Source organism: Homo sapiens, chromosome 15 (assembly GCF_000001405.40).
Source record: "Homo sapiens chromosome 15, GRCh38.p14 Primary Assembly".
In the NCBI taxonomy this organism is placed as follows: domain Eukaryota; kingdom Metazoa; phylum Chordata; class Mammalia; order Primates; family Hominidae; genus Homo; species Homo sapiens.
The window spans coordinates 93,839,667-93,854,608 of NC_000015.10; positions in this window are offsets into that span (position 1 = coordinate 93,839,667).

A 14,942-nucleotide genomic window follows, 5' to 3' on the forward strand; every position below is an offset into this window, starting at 1 on the left:
CTTAAAGTCACACAGGGTGGGGTATAATACTAAGTAAGAGAAGGTCCACACTGGTTTAATAAAGCCTCAGAGAAGGGTAGAAATCCACATATCAAGTCTCCTCCATGCTGCCTTCAGACAGTTGCTAAGTGAAGATTAATAAGATTAATATTAAATAAGAATAGGTTTAGGGTAAAGCTCTGAACATTAAGTATAAGCAAGATTGGTCTTTTCTAGAACCAGCTTTTGGTTTTATCGATTTGCCCCTATTGTTTTTCTGTTTTCAATTTCACATATTTTTTGCTCTAAATTTACTATTTCTTTTACTCTACTTCTTTTAGGTTCAAATTGCTCTCTAGTTTTTTCAGGTGGAAGCTTAGATTATTGATTTAAGATTCTGCTTTTCTAATATATGCATTTAATGTTTTAAATTTCCCTCTTTTGCTGCATCCCACAGATTTTAATAGGTTGTATTTCCATTTTCATTAAGTCAAAACATTTTAAAATTCCTCTTGAGACTTCTTTGACTATATTACTTAGGCAGGTTTTCAAATATTTGGATATTGTACAGCTATATTTCTAGTATTGATTTTTAGTTTAATTCCATTGTGGTCTGGAAACATGCTTTGTATGACTTCTGCTATTTAAAATTTGCTAAAGTGTGGGTCTATCTTGTAGAATGTCCCATATGAGCTTGAGAACAATGTGTATTCTGCTGTTTTTGGATTCAGATTAAGTTGATTGACAGTGATGTTCAGCTCAACTCTATTCTGACTAATGTTCTATGTGCTTGATCTATTAATTACTGAATTAGGGATGCTTAAGTCTCTGACTACAATAGTGGAATTTTATATTTCACCTTGAATTTCTGTCAATTTTGCCTCACATATTTTGATGCTCTGTTGTTAGAAACGTACATATTAAGGGCCATTATTATATTTTCTTGGAGAATTGGCCTATTACTGATGGCTTTGTTATTTAACGTTCCTCTTCATCCCTGAAATTTTTTTTCTCTGAACTCTGTGCTTTGAAATTAATATAGCTACCCCAACCTTCTTTTGATTGCTGTTAGAATGGTATATATTTTTCCATCTCTCTCTCTCTCTCTCTCTCTCTCTAACCTATCTGTATCTTTATATTTAAAGTGGGTTTCTTTCTTTTCTTCTTTTTTTTTCTTTTTTTTTTTTTTTTTGAGATGGAGTCTTGTTCTGTTGCCCAGGCTGGAGTGCAGTGGGACGATCTTGGCTCACTGCAATCTCCGCCTCCTGGGTTCATGCCATTCTCCTGCCTCAGCCTCTGGAGTAGCTGGGACTACAGGCGCCCACTACCACGCCCGGCTAATTTTTTGTATTTTTAGTAGAGATGGAGTTTCACCATGTTAGCCAGGATGGTCTCGATCTGCTGACCTCATGATCCTCCCACCTCGGCCTCCCAAAGTGCTGGGATTATAGGTGTGAGCCACTGCACCTGGCCCTTTGTTTTCTTTTTAAAGACAGGGTCTTGCTCATTGCCCAGGCTGGAGTGCAGTGTGATGATCTCAACTCACTGCAACCTCTGCCTCCTGGGTTCAAGTGATCCTCCTTCCTCAGTCTCCTGAGTAGCTGGGACTACAAGCATGCACTACCATGCCAGGCTAATTTTTGTATTCTTAAGTAGAGACAGGGTTTTGCCATGTTGGCCAGGCTTAAAGTGGATTTCTCATGGACAAGGTATAGTTGGGTCTTGTATTTTTACATTTGGATTAATATCTACTATGTTTGTAACTGTTTTCTATTCATTGCATTTTCCTTTATTCTCTGCCTTTTATAATTTTATTTATTTAGTTATTATTTTTAGGTCATTTTTTTTTTAAAAGCAGGGTCTCACTCTGTCACTCAAACTGGAATACAGTAGTGTGATCATAGCTCATTGTAACCTCAAATGCCTGGGCTCAAATGATCCTCCAACCTCAGCCTCCTGAGTAGTTTGGACTACAGGTGTGCATCACTGTACCCAGCTAATTTTTTAACTTTTTGTAGATATGGGGTTTTGCTATGTTGTCCAAGCTGGTTTCAAACTCCTGGCCTCAAGTGATTCTCCAGCCTCGGCTTCTCAAAGTGCTGGAATTATAGGTGTGAGCCACCATGCCTAGGCTTTGGTTTTAATTAGGCATTTTATATGATTCCATTTTATCTCCTGTTTTAACATATACATTTTACTTCTTTTAAAAAATTTAGTTGTTGTCCTAGAGCTTGCAATATGTATTTTTAATTAATCTCAGCCCATTTTAAAATAACATTATATTGCTTCATTTAAAGTATAGTCACCTTATAACAAAGTATTCCCAATTCCATCTCTTATAACCTCATTATCATTCATTTTCCTTATCTATATGTTATAATCTCCTAATAAATTGCTACTACTATACTTTAGGCAATGCATTATATTTTATATATTTTAAGAACAAGAAAAATAAAGGACTTGATTCTATAATAGATTCATTTATTCCTCCCCCAATATTCTTTCTTTCTTTATATAGATAGGAGTTTCTTATATATATGTCATTTTTCCTCTTCCTGAAAAACATCTTTCAATATTTCTTTCAGGTTTGTTGTCAATAAATTTTCTCAGTTTTTGTTTTCCTATTTATCCTTCACTTATAAAGGATAATTTTCCTGGATACAAAATTCTAAGTTGGTAAATTTTGTTATTGAACATTAAATATTTCACCCCATTCTCTTCTTTTGTACATGATTTCTGGTGAGAATTCTGCTGTAACTCTTATTCTTTTTTTTTCTATAGATAAGGCTTTTTTTCCCCTTGTCTTCTTTCAATATGTCCTCTTTGTCTTTGGTTTGCTGCTGTTTAGATATGATATGGCTAACTGTAAGTGTTTTGTTGTTTTGTCTTATTTTGTTTGTTTGTCTGGTACTTATCGGGCTTTGTGTTTTGCATCTGTGGTTTAGTATTTGTCATTAATTTTGGAAAGTTCCCAGCCATTATTACTTCAAACAATTACTTACTGTTTTGCTCTGTTCTCACTTTCCTATCTTCTAGTATGTCAAATATGCATATGTCATACCCACAATTCTTGAATTTTTTTCATTTTTAAAATATTATTATTCATTTTCCTCCCTATGTTTTTGTGTGGGGAGTTTGTATTGACTGTGGTCAAGCTCATAGATTCTTTCTTTAGCTTTGCCCAGTCTACTGATAAGTCCATTAAAGGTATTGCTCATTTCTGTTGTACACATTTTTATTTCTAGCATTTTAAAAAATTCTTGCTTAGAGTTTTTATCACTCAGCTTATATTATTCACTTATTTTTCACATTATCTACTTTTTCTATTAAAAACCTTATCATATAAATCATAGTTTAAAATTTTCTTCTCTGATAATACTAGCATTTTTGTCATATTGAATGTAGTAATGTTGATTGATTCTTTTCCTCTTCAAATTGTGTTATCTCTTACATTCCAACATGATTTGTAAGTCTTTGTTAAAAGCTGAACACCACATACTGCATAATGGAAACTGAGATAAGCACGATCTTAATGTATGGTTTTAAGTTAGTTTGGGTCAGCGTTGGACAATGTTTAGTGTTTGATATAGGTGTAGGTGCCAGATATTTCAAATCCCTCTAGGGTCCTTATTTTTGTCTCCCTTATTGACTTTGAGTGCCTTGAGGACTGCTACTCAGAGAGGGTCTATCTGAATCTTGCTGCTCTTTCAGGTTTAATCCACTATTATACGTGAACCCTGTTGATATGGTAGTAAGATGTTGGGAAGGGAAGATATTCTATAATTTTATTATTAAATCTCATTATTTTAACAGGGAGAGCTCTACATGTTAGTATGGAGTAAATAAAAATAAAATTAATTATGGAATAAAGTAAAATAAAAGCAAGATGTGTAAGAGTATATCGGGCAGGCTAACTTTTGTTTAAAAAGTATAGGTACATTTTCGAAATATAGTTACTTATATTTTCAGAACAAATTAATGAAAGGATAAACATAAACCTAGGTAAAATAATCTCCTCCCTGGGGAGACAGAGAACAAAACAGAAAAAGAGAGTGGTAACGAAACTTAAGTGAATATACTTTATTACATAATTTGGTATTAGATAAATATATACTTTAAAAAAGTTATTTTGACAAAAAAGGGGAAAAAGTAATATCTAAACTTAAGAGCAAGTGTAAATAAATGAACAAAATATCTATATCAAAAGATTGCATAATCACACAGAGAAAATAATTATTTCAAGTGACTTTAAACACCATATTTCAACTGAGCACCTCCAGTAAGATGTATTGTAAAGGAAAAGTACTCACAATAATTTTTAAGCTTTTTTAGTATTATTATTGTTAGTAATATTTACAGTCTTATTTTGAAACTATTATAGTTATTCTATAAGTTGATACAAATAAGTAATTTTGAATATATTAGAAACAGAATTTTTGTGTAGAAAAAATACAAGTTTAAAATCAAAGTCATTTAATAATTGTAATTTTGAAGTGGAATCATCAATTTAAATTATGACTATTTTTTCCCTTAAAAAATATATATATATATATTTTTTCTTTTTTCTCTTTACTGAAAAGGCCTAGAAGCGAAGACACATAGAAGCAATGTGTACCTAGACTGTTGTCCTAAATGCCATTTCCTACCAGGAAGGAACCAGAGTCTTTGCAGAAATGTATCATTTCACATCTGGGTAAGGAAATGTCTGAGAAGGATCAGATATATTGTGGGTCAGAAAGCAACGGAGCTGTCAAAGTGAACTCATGCAACGGTATCAAAAGGATTCAAAAGAATTCAGTTGATAAAAGTCGGTATAGACCCATTTCTTCCCACTCTTCCCTGCTAAGTATAACTGTAACCCCTGAAAATTACTCAAGAGACAACCAAAGGAGAACTCTAAACACTAGTGGAAGAAGATTAACTGATTTGGGACCCTAAGAACAACATAGTGGCAGGGTGACACTCATGCCTCCTTTCAAAAGAACAAGGACACCTAGACCCAGTATTTTCCTACCTCAGCAGAGCAACAGATGGAAGCCCACGTAGGCTCATTGCTCTCCTGGATCCATCAGCAGCCCCTCTGCATCAGGCGAGCCCAACACTACCTTTGAGGAGGAATCAATTTGGAGACCTATCAATAAGCAGTGAGGGGAATCACTCTCCTTCCTCAAGCAGCACCAGCAAGAACCAGTGGGAGCCCGAGAAACACCAGACATGTTAAGTAGTCCAATGTAACACCACAAAGTCTCTGAAAATTAAACTGCCATTGGAACCATAGCCTAAAAAAGTTGGCCAAGACTTACGTATGTGATAAATCTAAACAGGGTGACTGCCACTTAAAATAAAAGATTTAAAGAGGACCCCAGAGTCTCTTAACATACTAGACAAAATGTTGAGGATACAGTAGAAAATTACCCATCACACCAAGAACCAAGGAAATGACAACTCGAATGAGAAAGAAAATCACCTGACACTGCACTAAGTTCAATGTTGGAATTATCTGACAAGGATTTTAAATTATATTTGATCATTGAAACAAAAATTATAACACAATACTTAAGGTAATGATATTTAAGAGTGAAGAAGATGGCTTCCTAAACAGAATGAAGTTTCCATACTATATTTGAAGTTATAAAATGTTGACACTGGTAGATTATTACATATATATTTTGTAATGCCCAGGGCAACCACTACAGAAACTATACACAAAAATACACCCCAAATGCTATAAATAAATCAAGATGGAATTCTAGAAAAAAAAAATTCAAGCAACCAACAGAATGGCAATAACAAGAAATAGAAAAAAATAGAAAATAAGCTATAAAATGGCAGATTTGAATACTAACATATCATTAAGTTCCTTATATATAAGTGGTCTAAATACACCAATCAAAAGGCAGAGTTTAGCAAAGTGGATTTAGAAAATCCTGACTCAATTATATGAAAGAGGCATAACAATCAAATGCAATATGTAGAACCGTTGATTTTGATCTGAACAAGCTAGTTGTAAACAGGTATCTTTGGCATTAATTAGGAGAATGTGAATATGGATGGTTAATTAGATAATAAGAATTTTTTTAATTTTTTTATAGTTGTGCTTATGACTCATAGTCATGTTTTTAAAAACTTTATTATTGTCTGGGCATGGTGGCTCATGCCTGTACTCCCAGCACTTTGGGAGGCCGAGGCGGGTGGATCACTGGAGGTCAGGAGTTTGAGACCAGCCTGGCCAACATGGTGAAACCCCGTCTCTACCAAAAATATATATATATAAAAATTAGCCAGGTGCGGTGGCATGCTCCTGTAATCCCAGCTACTCGGGAGGCTGAGGCAGGATAGTCGCTTGAACCTGGGAGGCGGAGGTTGCAGTGAGCCAAGATTGTGCCACTGCACTCCAGCCTGGACGACAGAGTGAGACTCCATGTAAAAAAAAAAAAAAAAAAGTTATTATTTGCTTATTAAATTATGGAAGGACAAAATTATAGGCTGTCTGGTATTTTAAAAAATGCTCCAGGAAAACAAAAAATGTGAGAATGACTTGGCAAGATGGCTGACTAGAAACAGCTGTGATCAGAGGCTCCCACTGAGAGGAACAGAAATGGGGAGTGAATCCTGCACCAGCAACCGAGGCAACTGCCGGAACGGGAAACACTGAGCAATGTGGACTCAGGAGGAATTCCCCACAGGGAAGCACAGCCGCAGTGGAAGATCGTGGCCAGATTACCTCTTTAGGCTGGACCCCCGATCCGTCCCTCCTCACTGGGTAGGGCCTCCCTGTGGGAATTTCAAGGTCCCGAATCTACAAGGAACTTAAACGAATTTACAGGAACAAAAACAAACAACCCAATTAAAAAGTGGGCAAAGGACATGAACAGTCACTTCTCAAAAGAAGACCTACATGCGGCCAACGAAGATGTGAAAAAAACTCAACATCACTGATCTTTAGAGAAATGCAAATCAAAACCACATTGAGATACCATCTCACGCCAGTCAGAATTAATTATTAAAAAGTCAAGAAACAACAGATGCTGGCGAGGTTGCAGAGAAAAAGGAAGGCTTTTACACTGTTGATGGGAGAGTATATTAGTTTAATCCATTGTGGAAGACAGTGTGGCAATTCCTGAAAAATCTAGAGGTGAAAATACCATTTGACCCAGCAATCCTATTACTGGGTATATACCCAATGGAATATAAATAATTTTATTATAAAGATACATGCATGCATATGCTCATTGCAGGACTATTTACCATAGCAAAGACAGGGAATCAACCTAAATGCCCATCAATGACAGACTGGATAAAGAAAATGTGGTACATTTACACCATGGAATATGATGCAGCCATAACAAGGAATGAAATCATGTCCTTTGCAGGGACATGGATGGAGCTCAAAGCCATTATCCTCAGCAAACTAATGCGGGATCAGAAAACCAAACACTGCATGTTCTCACTTATAAGTGGAAGCTGAACAATGGGAACACGTGGACACGGAGTAGGGAACAAGACACACTGGGGCCTGTTTGTGGGGTTGGGGGAGGGAGAGCATCAAGAAAAATAGCTAATGCATGTGGGGCTTGTAGGTGATAGGCTGATAGGTGCAGCAAACCACCATGGCACACATTTGTTTACCTATGAAACAAAACTGCATGTCCTGCACATGTACCCCAGAACTGGGCATGGTGGCACATGCCTGTAGTCCCAGCTACTCGGGAGGCTGAGGCAGGAGAATCGCTTGAACCCGGGAGGCAGAGGTTGCAGTGAGCTGAGATTGTGCCATTGCACTCCAGCCTGGGCAACAGAGGGAGACTCCATCTTAAAAAAAAAGAAAGAAAAAGAAAGAAAGAAAGGAAGGAAGAAAGGAAGGAAGGGAGGAAGAAAGAGAAAGAAATAAAGAAAGAGAAAGAAAGAAAGAAGGAAAGGAAGGAAAGAAAGAGGGAAGGAAGGAAGGGAGGGAGGGAGGAAGGAGAAAAAAGTGTATAAACAAAGGGATAAATTGATAGAGATACAGGATATATGAAAATAATGTTTTTAGTTGAAATAAATACTAGAGACTCATAACAGGTATTGCTCTTAAACATCATAATCACATGAATTGTTACTTTTCTTTTTCGAATGACAGCAATTATTATTTGGGTCTTAAATGTTTGACTTTAAAAATGTTTGTTTTTATACTTTCTTTCTCTTTTAAACTCAGTGAAAACTTTCTAAACTTTAAAATAAGCCATCTATACTCTCAAACCTGCTGTTTTGGTCACAAAGCTTCATCTGTTGTTTTGTTTCTGTTCGGGGCTGATTTGAATGAACTGATGAACTTAACTAAACACAGCAGAGAATTGCTCAATCCCCTTTTACTTTCTTGCTAATTAAATTTTGAATGTCTGCTGTGGAAAAGGGAGGTGGGAAGATTTTAGAACTCCAATTAATTGCAGATGCTTAATCACACCAGCTGAAAGCTGGCAAGCCACCCCATAATTTACATAGTCTGTCGACTGGACAGCTGTGGCTGGGAATGGGCAGGGATGGGTGGGGTGCAAGCCCCTTCACCCCAGTGCTGGCGTCGTAGTGCTTGCCATAACAGACATTTGTGAAAACCTTTCACCCTCCCCATTGCTGTCTTCACTTTTCCTGGCCTCTGTATATTCCTCTGATGCATTTCTTAGGGTCCTTAAGCCTCCTTGGCTATTTTGCAATTCAGTAAGTTTGTTGTAGGTGTGGCTCAAAATTAAAGAGTAGAGACAGAAAGACAAGGATGGATCAAGTTGGTTTTTTTTTTTCTTTGTAGTCCTTTAAATACTAATTTTTTTTTTTTTTTACCTAAATAATTGTCAGAATCTTCAGAAAGGCAAAGTCTCCTGGTTGCTCCCAAGATTGGCAATAAGAATGGCTCATCTTATTCATTCTCCAAACACTGGGGCCACCCAGAATTTATTATTTTCTCCTTGTTTTGGATATGTGTATATGTGTGTGTTGGGGTGTCAGTATTCAAGCACATGTGCTGGATGCTAAAACACACACATGGCCTTGGCCTTAAATGTTCAGCTGTGTCTGCTCCACACCCTGACATTAAAATAAACTGTCTTTTGGAATAAGATTCTATCCCCTAGACTCCTGGTTGAAGAGGATTTTAAGCTTGTGAACTCTGCTTACCCTAAGCACTGAAAAAGATTAGGAACAATCAAATCAACCAGGTATGCATCGTTCTCAGTGTCAAGTTAAACTTTTAAATCTAGAAAGTAAATGTTGCTGAAGTCTGGGTCGTGGAGACCAGTCTGCAGAGGTGAGTGTGCAGTTGTGCATGAACAGTGCTTGCTTGGAGCTTTGTCAAGTCTAATTCATGGAGAGGGAGGGATGTGAGACCTGCCATGAGCAGTATGTCAATTTCAGTTAAATGATGCCTATAATGTGCCTTCACATGTGTTTTCTCATTTTATCTTCATAATAGTTCTGTAGACAGGTGAATAAGACACAGAGATGTGCGGCAGTTTGTCTAGGGTCCCCTAATTATTTCATTGATTCATTCATTTATTCATTCATTAATGTATTTATCCTTTACTATGATCTTATTTTGTACTAGCCACTGTATGATGTGTCTGGGATATAGGTTAGAAAAATAAACATGACTCTTCCTCTCATGCGGTCATACACTAGTGGAGAAGAGTGGTTTAAATCAAATATATAAATAATCACACCAATAATTGAATAACGGCAGACTGAGGTAAATGCCATGGAGGAAAGGAATGCTGATCTTGAAGAGTGCATCATATACGGAACATGACTCGGACTCCTGGGGTCTTTAAGGAGGTGATGGTGAACCTGAGATGTGAAAGATGACAAGAGTCAGCCAGATCAAGTGGGCTGAGTAGGGGAAGAGCATTCCAGACAGAAAGGTCAGTACACAGAAAAAACCTGAGAGGCTGCATTTTTAAAAACTACAAGGCTAGGGATGCTGAAGTTAGAGACCAACTTGGAGCATGACTCGAGAGGAGAATGGAGAAAGAGTCAAGTTTCGGATCATGCAGGGGAGAAACAGGAAATTGCTATGAAGATCTTACTATTGTCAGTCAAACAGACAATGGCTTGGAGGCCATATGAGTTAATATTATTTGGAGTTTGCATAAGAGTAGCTGATAGCATTAGCTAGGTTATTGGCAGGGCAGATGGAGATGTCTGGATACATTGCAAGATTGCTTAGGAGACAAAATCAATAGCACTTGGTGATAATTTGAGTATCAGAGTTGAAAGAAATGAAAATAACTAGGATGATTCCTGGCCTGGTTACCTATGCAGTTGAATAGATTTAAGAGAGCTGGCTTGGGGTGCAGAGAGATTCAAAGTTTGGTCCTGGGTTGATTGTGGCAGGATCAATGTGGTTAATATGGCTTGCAGGCCTCCAAAAAGAGATTCTGAATGGCCAGCTGGGTATATAGGTCTGAAGTTCAGAGAAGAGTCTTTGAGTGAAAGATTGTTTGAGAGTCATCAGCATTTAAGTAGTAGCTATGGGTGGAGATTATCTTGCTTGAGACAGTGATAATGACAAAAGACAAGACCTGGGACATCATGTTGAGAAATTCCATCAGGTGGGTTGGGGCATGAGGATGAGCCTGCCAAAGCTAAGGAAACCCGAGGATGAAAGGAGATAAAAAGGAATGTAGGATCCTGGAAGCCAAGGAAGATATTTCCAGAAGGAGCATGAACAGTGCCATATGCCTTGGGTCAGGTAAGATGAGGACTGGAGGGGTCCCATTAAGTCTGTAATATGGTTCTTAGACTGTCAACTGGAACCTTCTACCTCACTTTTGAAAATTAAGACTCTTCTTTGGAAAGAAAATGTTTGCACCCCACATCTCCCTCTACAGCCCACTCTAATTTTCTCTGTCTTTGCACAAACTTCTTGAAAGTATTTTTTGTGTGCTCACTCTCTCCATTCCCCCTCTTTTCTTTGAGTCTGCCACCCACTCAAACCCACTTCTTCTCCATTCCCCTACCCACACTCTTCTGCTTCCAGTGTGCCCTTTGCATTTTATATCATGGCAATGTGATATGGTTTGGCTGTGTACCCACTCAATATGTCACCCCAAATTTTAATCCCTGGCCAGATGTGGTGGCTCATGCCTATAATTCCAGCAGTTTGGGAGACCGAGGTGTGTGGATCACCTGAAGTCAGGAGTTCGAGACCAACCTGGCCAACATGGTGAAACCCCATCTGTACTAAAAATACAGAAATTAGCCAGGCATGGTGGTGCACGCCTGTAATCCCAGCTACTCAGGAGGCTTGAACCTGGAAGGCAGAGGTTGCACTGAGCCAAGATTGTGCCACTGCACTCCAGCCTGGGCAACAGAGCAAGCCTTCATCTCAAAAAAAAAAAAAAAAAAATTAATCCCCATAATCTCCATTATCACCACGTGTCAAGGGAGAGACCAGGTGGCGGTGTTTGAGTCATGGGGGCTCTTTCTGCATGCTGTTCTCATGATAGTGAGTGAGTTCTCCCAACATCTAATGGTTTTATAAGTGTTTGGTAGTTCCTCTTGCATTCATTCTCTTTCTTGCCGCCTTGTGAAGAAGGTGACTTGCTTCCCTTTTGCCTTCTACCATGACTGAGGCCTTCCCAGCATACTGAACTGTGAGTCAATTAAACCTCTTTTCTTTATAAATTACTGAGTTTCAGGCAGTTGGGGTTTTTAAAATTTTATTTCCATAGGTTTTTGGGGAGCAGGTGGTATTTGGTTACATGAGTAAGTTCTTTAGTGGTGATTTGTGAGATATTTGTGCACCCATCTCCCAAGCAGTATATACTGAACCCAATTTATCCCTCACCCTCTTCCCACTCTTTCCTTCTCAGTCCCAAAGTCCATCATCTCATTCTTATGCCTTTGTGCATCATGGCTTAGCACCCACATATCAGGGAGAACATACGATGTTTGGTTTTCCGTTTCTGCGTTACTTCACTTAGAATAATAGTCTCTAATCCTATCCAGGTTGCTATGAATGCCATTAATTCATTCCTTTTTATGGTTGAGTAGTGTTCCATCATGTTTCTTTATTCTATTCATACGGTTTCTTTATCTATTCACTGATTTATGGGCATTTGGGTTGGTTCTACATTTTTGCAATTGTGAATTATGCTGCTATAAACATGCATGAGCAAGTATTTTTTTGGTATAATGACTTCTTTTTCTCTGGGTAGATCCAGTGGGATTGCTGGATCAAATGGTAGTTGTACTTTTATTTCTTTAAGGAATCTCCACACTGTTTTCCATAGTGTTTGTAGTACTGTACATTCCCACCAGCAGTGTAGAAGTGTTCCCTTTTCACCATATCCACACCAACATCTATTGTTTTTAATTTTTTAATTATGGCCATTCTTGCAGGAGTAAGGTTGTATCACATTGTGGTTTCGATTTGCATTTCCCTGAAAATGGACTAATACATGATGTTTGCATAGTAACATTTTGATTCACATATTTACATTTATAAATATTTTTATTTTTACATCTGCTTTGGATGTCCTATATAAAAAAGTTTTCATGCCCAAAATTTATAAAAATTTCACTAATATTTTTATTATTTTATGCTTTTATATTTTATATTTAATTCATCAGTAATTACTTTTAGTATCAAGTATGAGGTAAAGATTTAACTTTCTTTGGCTCTAGGTTGCTAGATAGTTGTTTCAGAAGCATATACTGAATGCCTTCCTCATCAATTGGAAATGGGATCTTTATTGCTCTTCTTTTAGATTCATGGAATGAACTATTCAAAGCTCTTTTCATCCACAGTCTCATAGACTGGCAAATCAATAAGAATTGGGAAGACAAAACTCTTAGAAAATTGAAAAAATCAGCAATCTTCAACACAATGTTCAGAACACAGAAAGTATTGCACTTCTGGTGCTTAACTGTATCAACAAAAAATGATAATAAAAGGGAAAAATGGCCTAAAATGAATCATTTCCTATAGCAATAACAAGAGCAAGGCACACATACACACACACACACACAAACACAAACACACACACCCCAATGTGCTAATATTATTATTAACCCTGGCAGGCAATACTTTTTGTGAAGTAGGGTTTTTTTTCATTTGTTTTTTGATTTGCTTGAAACCTGATTCCATCATATGGGATACTCAATATCCCCAAATGCTTATCAAATTATTACTTTCAACTTACCTGAAATTCCAAATCACTGGCTTTAGTGTTGCTAGACCAAAATTTCTGGCCTTGACTTTATTAGATTGAGAGTCACTTAAGGTCAGTCAGCTCCTATCTGCTTGCAGCGTGGTCTCTGGTGCACAGAGCTCGATGCCAGGAAATACTGTCCTGCAATGATTCATTCCCTTTTATTGGCTACGTAGTCATAGGTTGGACTCTATATTAGGAAGATGAACAACAGGTATTTTGTGCCATTAAGGCAAGTACAGTTTATAGTGGAAAAAAGGCAAATAAACTTATAATTAAGATAAATAAGAGAATTTCTACATAAATTTAGAAATTAGGGCTCGGCACAGTGGCTTACACCTGTAATCCCAGCACTTAGGAAGGCTGAGGTGGGAGGATCACTTGAGGTCAGGAGTTCGAGACCAGCCTGGCCAATATGGTGTAACCCTGTCTCTATTCAAAATACACAAATTAGCCAGGCATGGTGGTGTGTGTCTGTAGTCCCAACTACCCAGGAGGCTGGGGCAGGAGAATCGCTTGTACCAGGGAGGTGGAGGTTGCAGTGAGCTGAGACTGCACCATTGCACTCCAGCCTGGGCATCACGGTGAGGCTCTGTCTTAAAAACAAAATTAGAAATTAGTATATGTATGTAAAGTACTCTGTGAACAAAAGAGAGGCAGTCTCTCTATTTTGGCAAATGTAAGCTGTATATGGCAGAGAAGCAAGAATCTTCTGGCTAGAGAAGGAAGAAATATGCACATGGTACAGAGACGACAACATGAAGAGAGACACAGAAGCCCCACAGGGTGCTGCCTGCTTGAGGAAGGAGCCACGGCTTATGGTGGCTGGAAGAGCCTGAGAGGAGCACAGCAACTGCACATGGAGAGATGCAGCTGGCATCACCTTGTAGGACTCTCTGTACCAGTCTAAAGAGTTTAGTCTTCATCTTAGAGAGCTGTAGGAATGCTCAGGCAAAGGGGAGGTGTAATCAGAACTATGGTTTGGATAGATCATGCAGACGGCATCAAGAAGGATATGTGGGAAGAGGAATGGGTGGGGGACTGGAGAGAAGAACTGGTGGGGGACATTCTGCAATAATACAAGGATGGAAGCTTCAATTTAAATAGGATCCAAATACTTGTTACTAACTCTATGTCTGATCCTAGGCACCTTGACTGTTGCCTGCAGTATTGCACCAGACTCTTAATTTGGATTCCTGCTTAGGACCTTGTGTCACTACAGGCTATTCTTAAGGCAGCAGCCCCAGTGGTCCTCTTGAAATCTAAGCCAGAGTCAGTTCATGTCACTGCCCATTACAAAACTTTCCAGTGTTCCCATTTTAATTACAGCAAAAGATGTGGTCCATACAATGGCCCACAAATCCCTACATAGTCTGGCCCATTGACCTCTCTGTTTTATCTCCCAGGACTCTCTCCAATTGTCGCTTGGCTCCAGACATGGTGGCACCCTCTCCCCGCCTCCAACATGCAAGGAAATTCTTGCCTCAGGCCTTTGAAATAGCTGTTGCTTTAGCCTGGAATGTTTTTCCCTACCTATCTGTATAGTGAACTCTGTTACCTTCTGTAAGTCTTTGTTCAAATGTCACATTGACCACCATATTTGAATCGCCACCTACTTCAGCACTCCTATTCTTCCTTATCCAGCTCCACTTTTTCTTTATTCCCTCACAGCACTTACCACCTTCTCCCATAGTAAAATAATTTACTCGATTATTAAGTATATTGTCCTGTTGTCCTCTGCTGAAATGTAGACTCCATGGTAGCAGGCGTTTGGGTTTCATT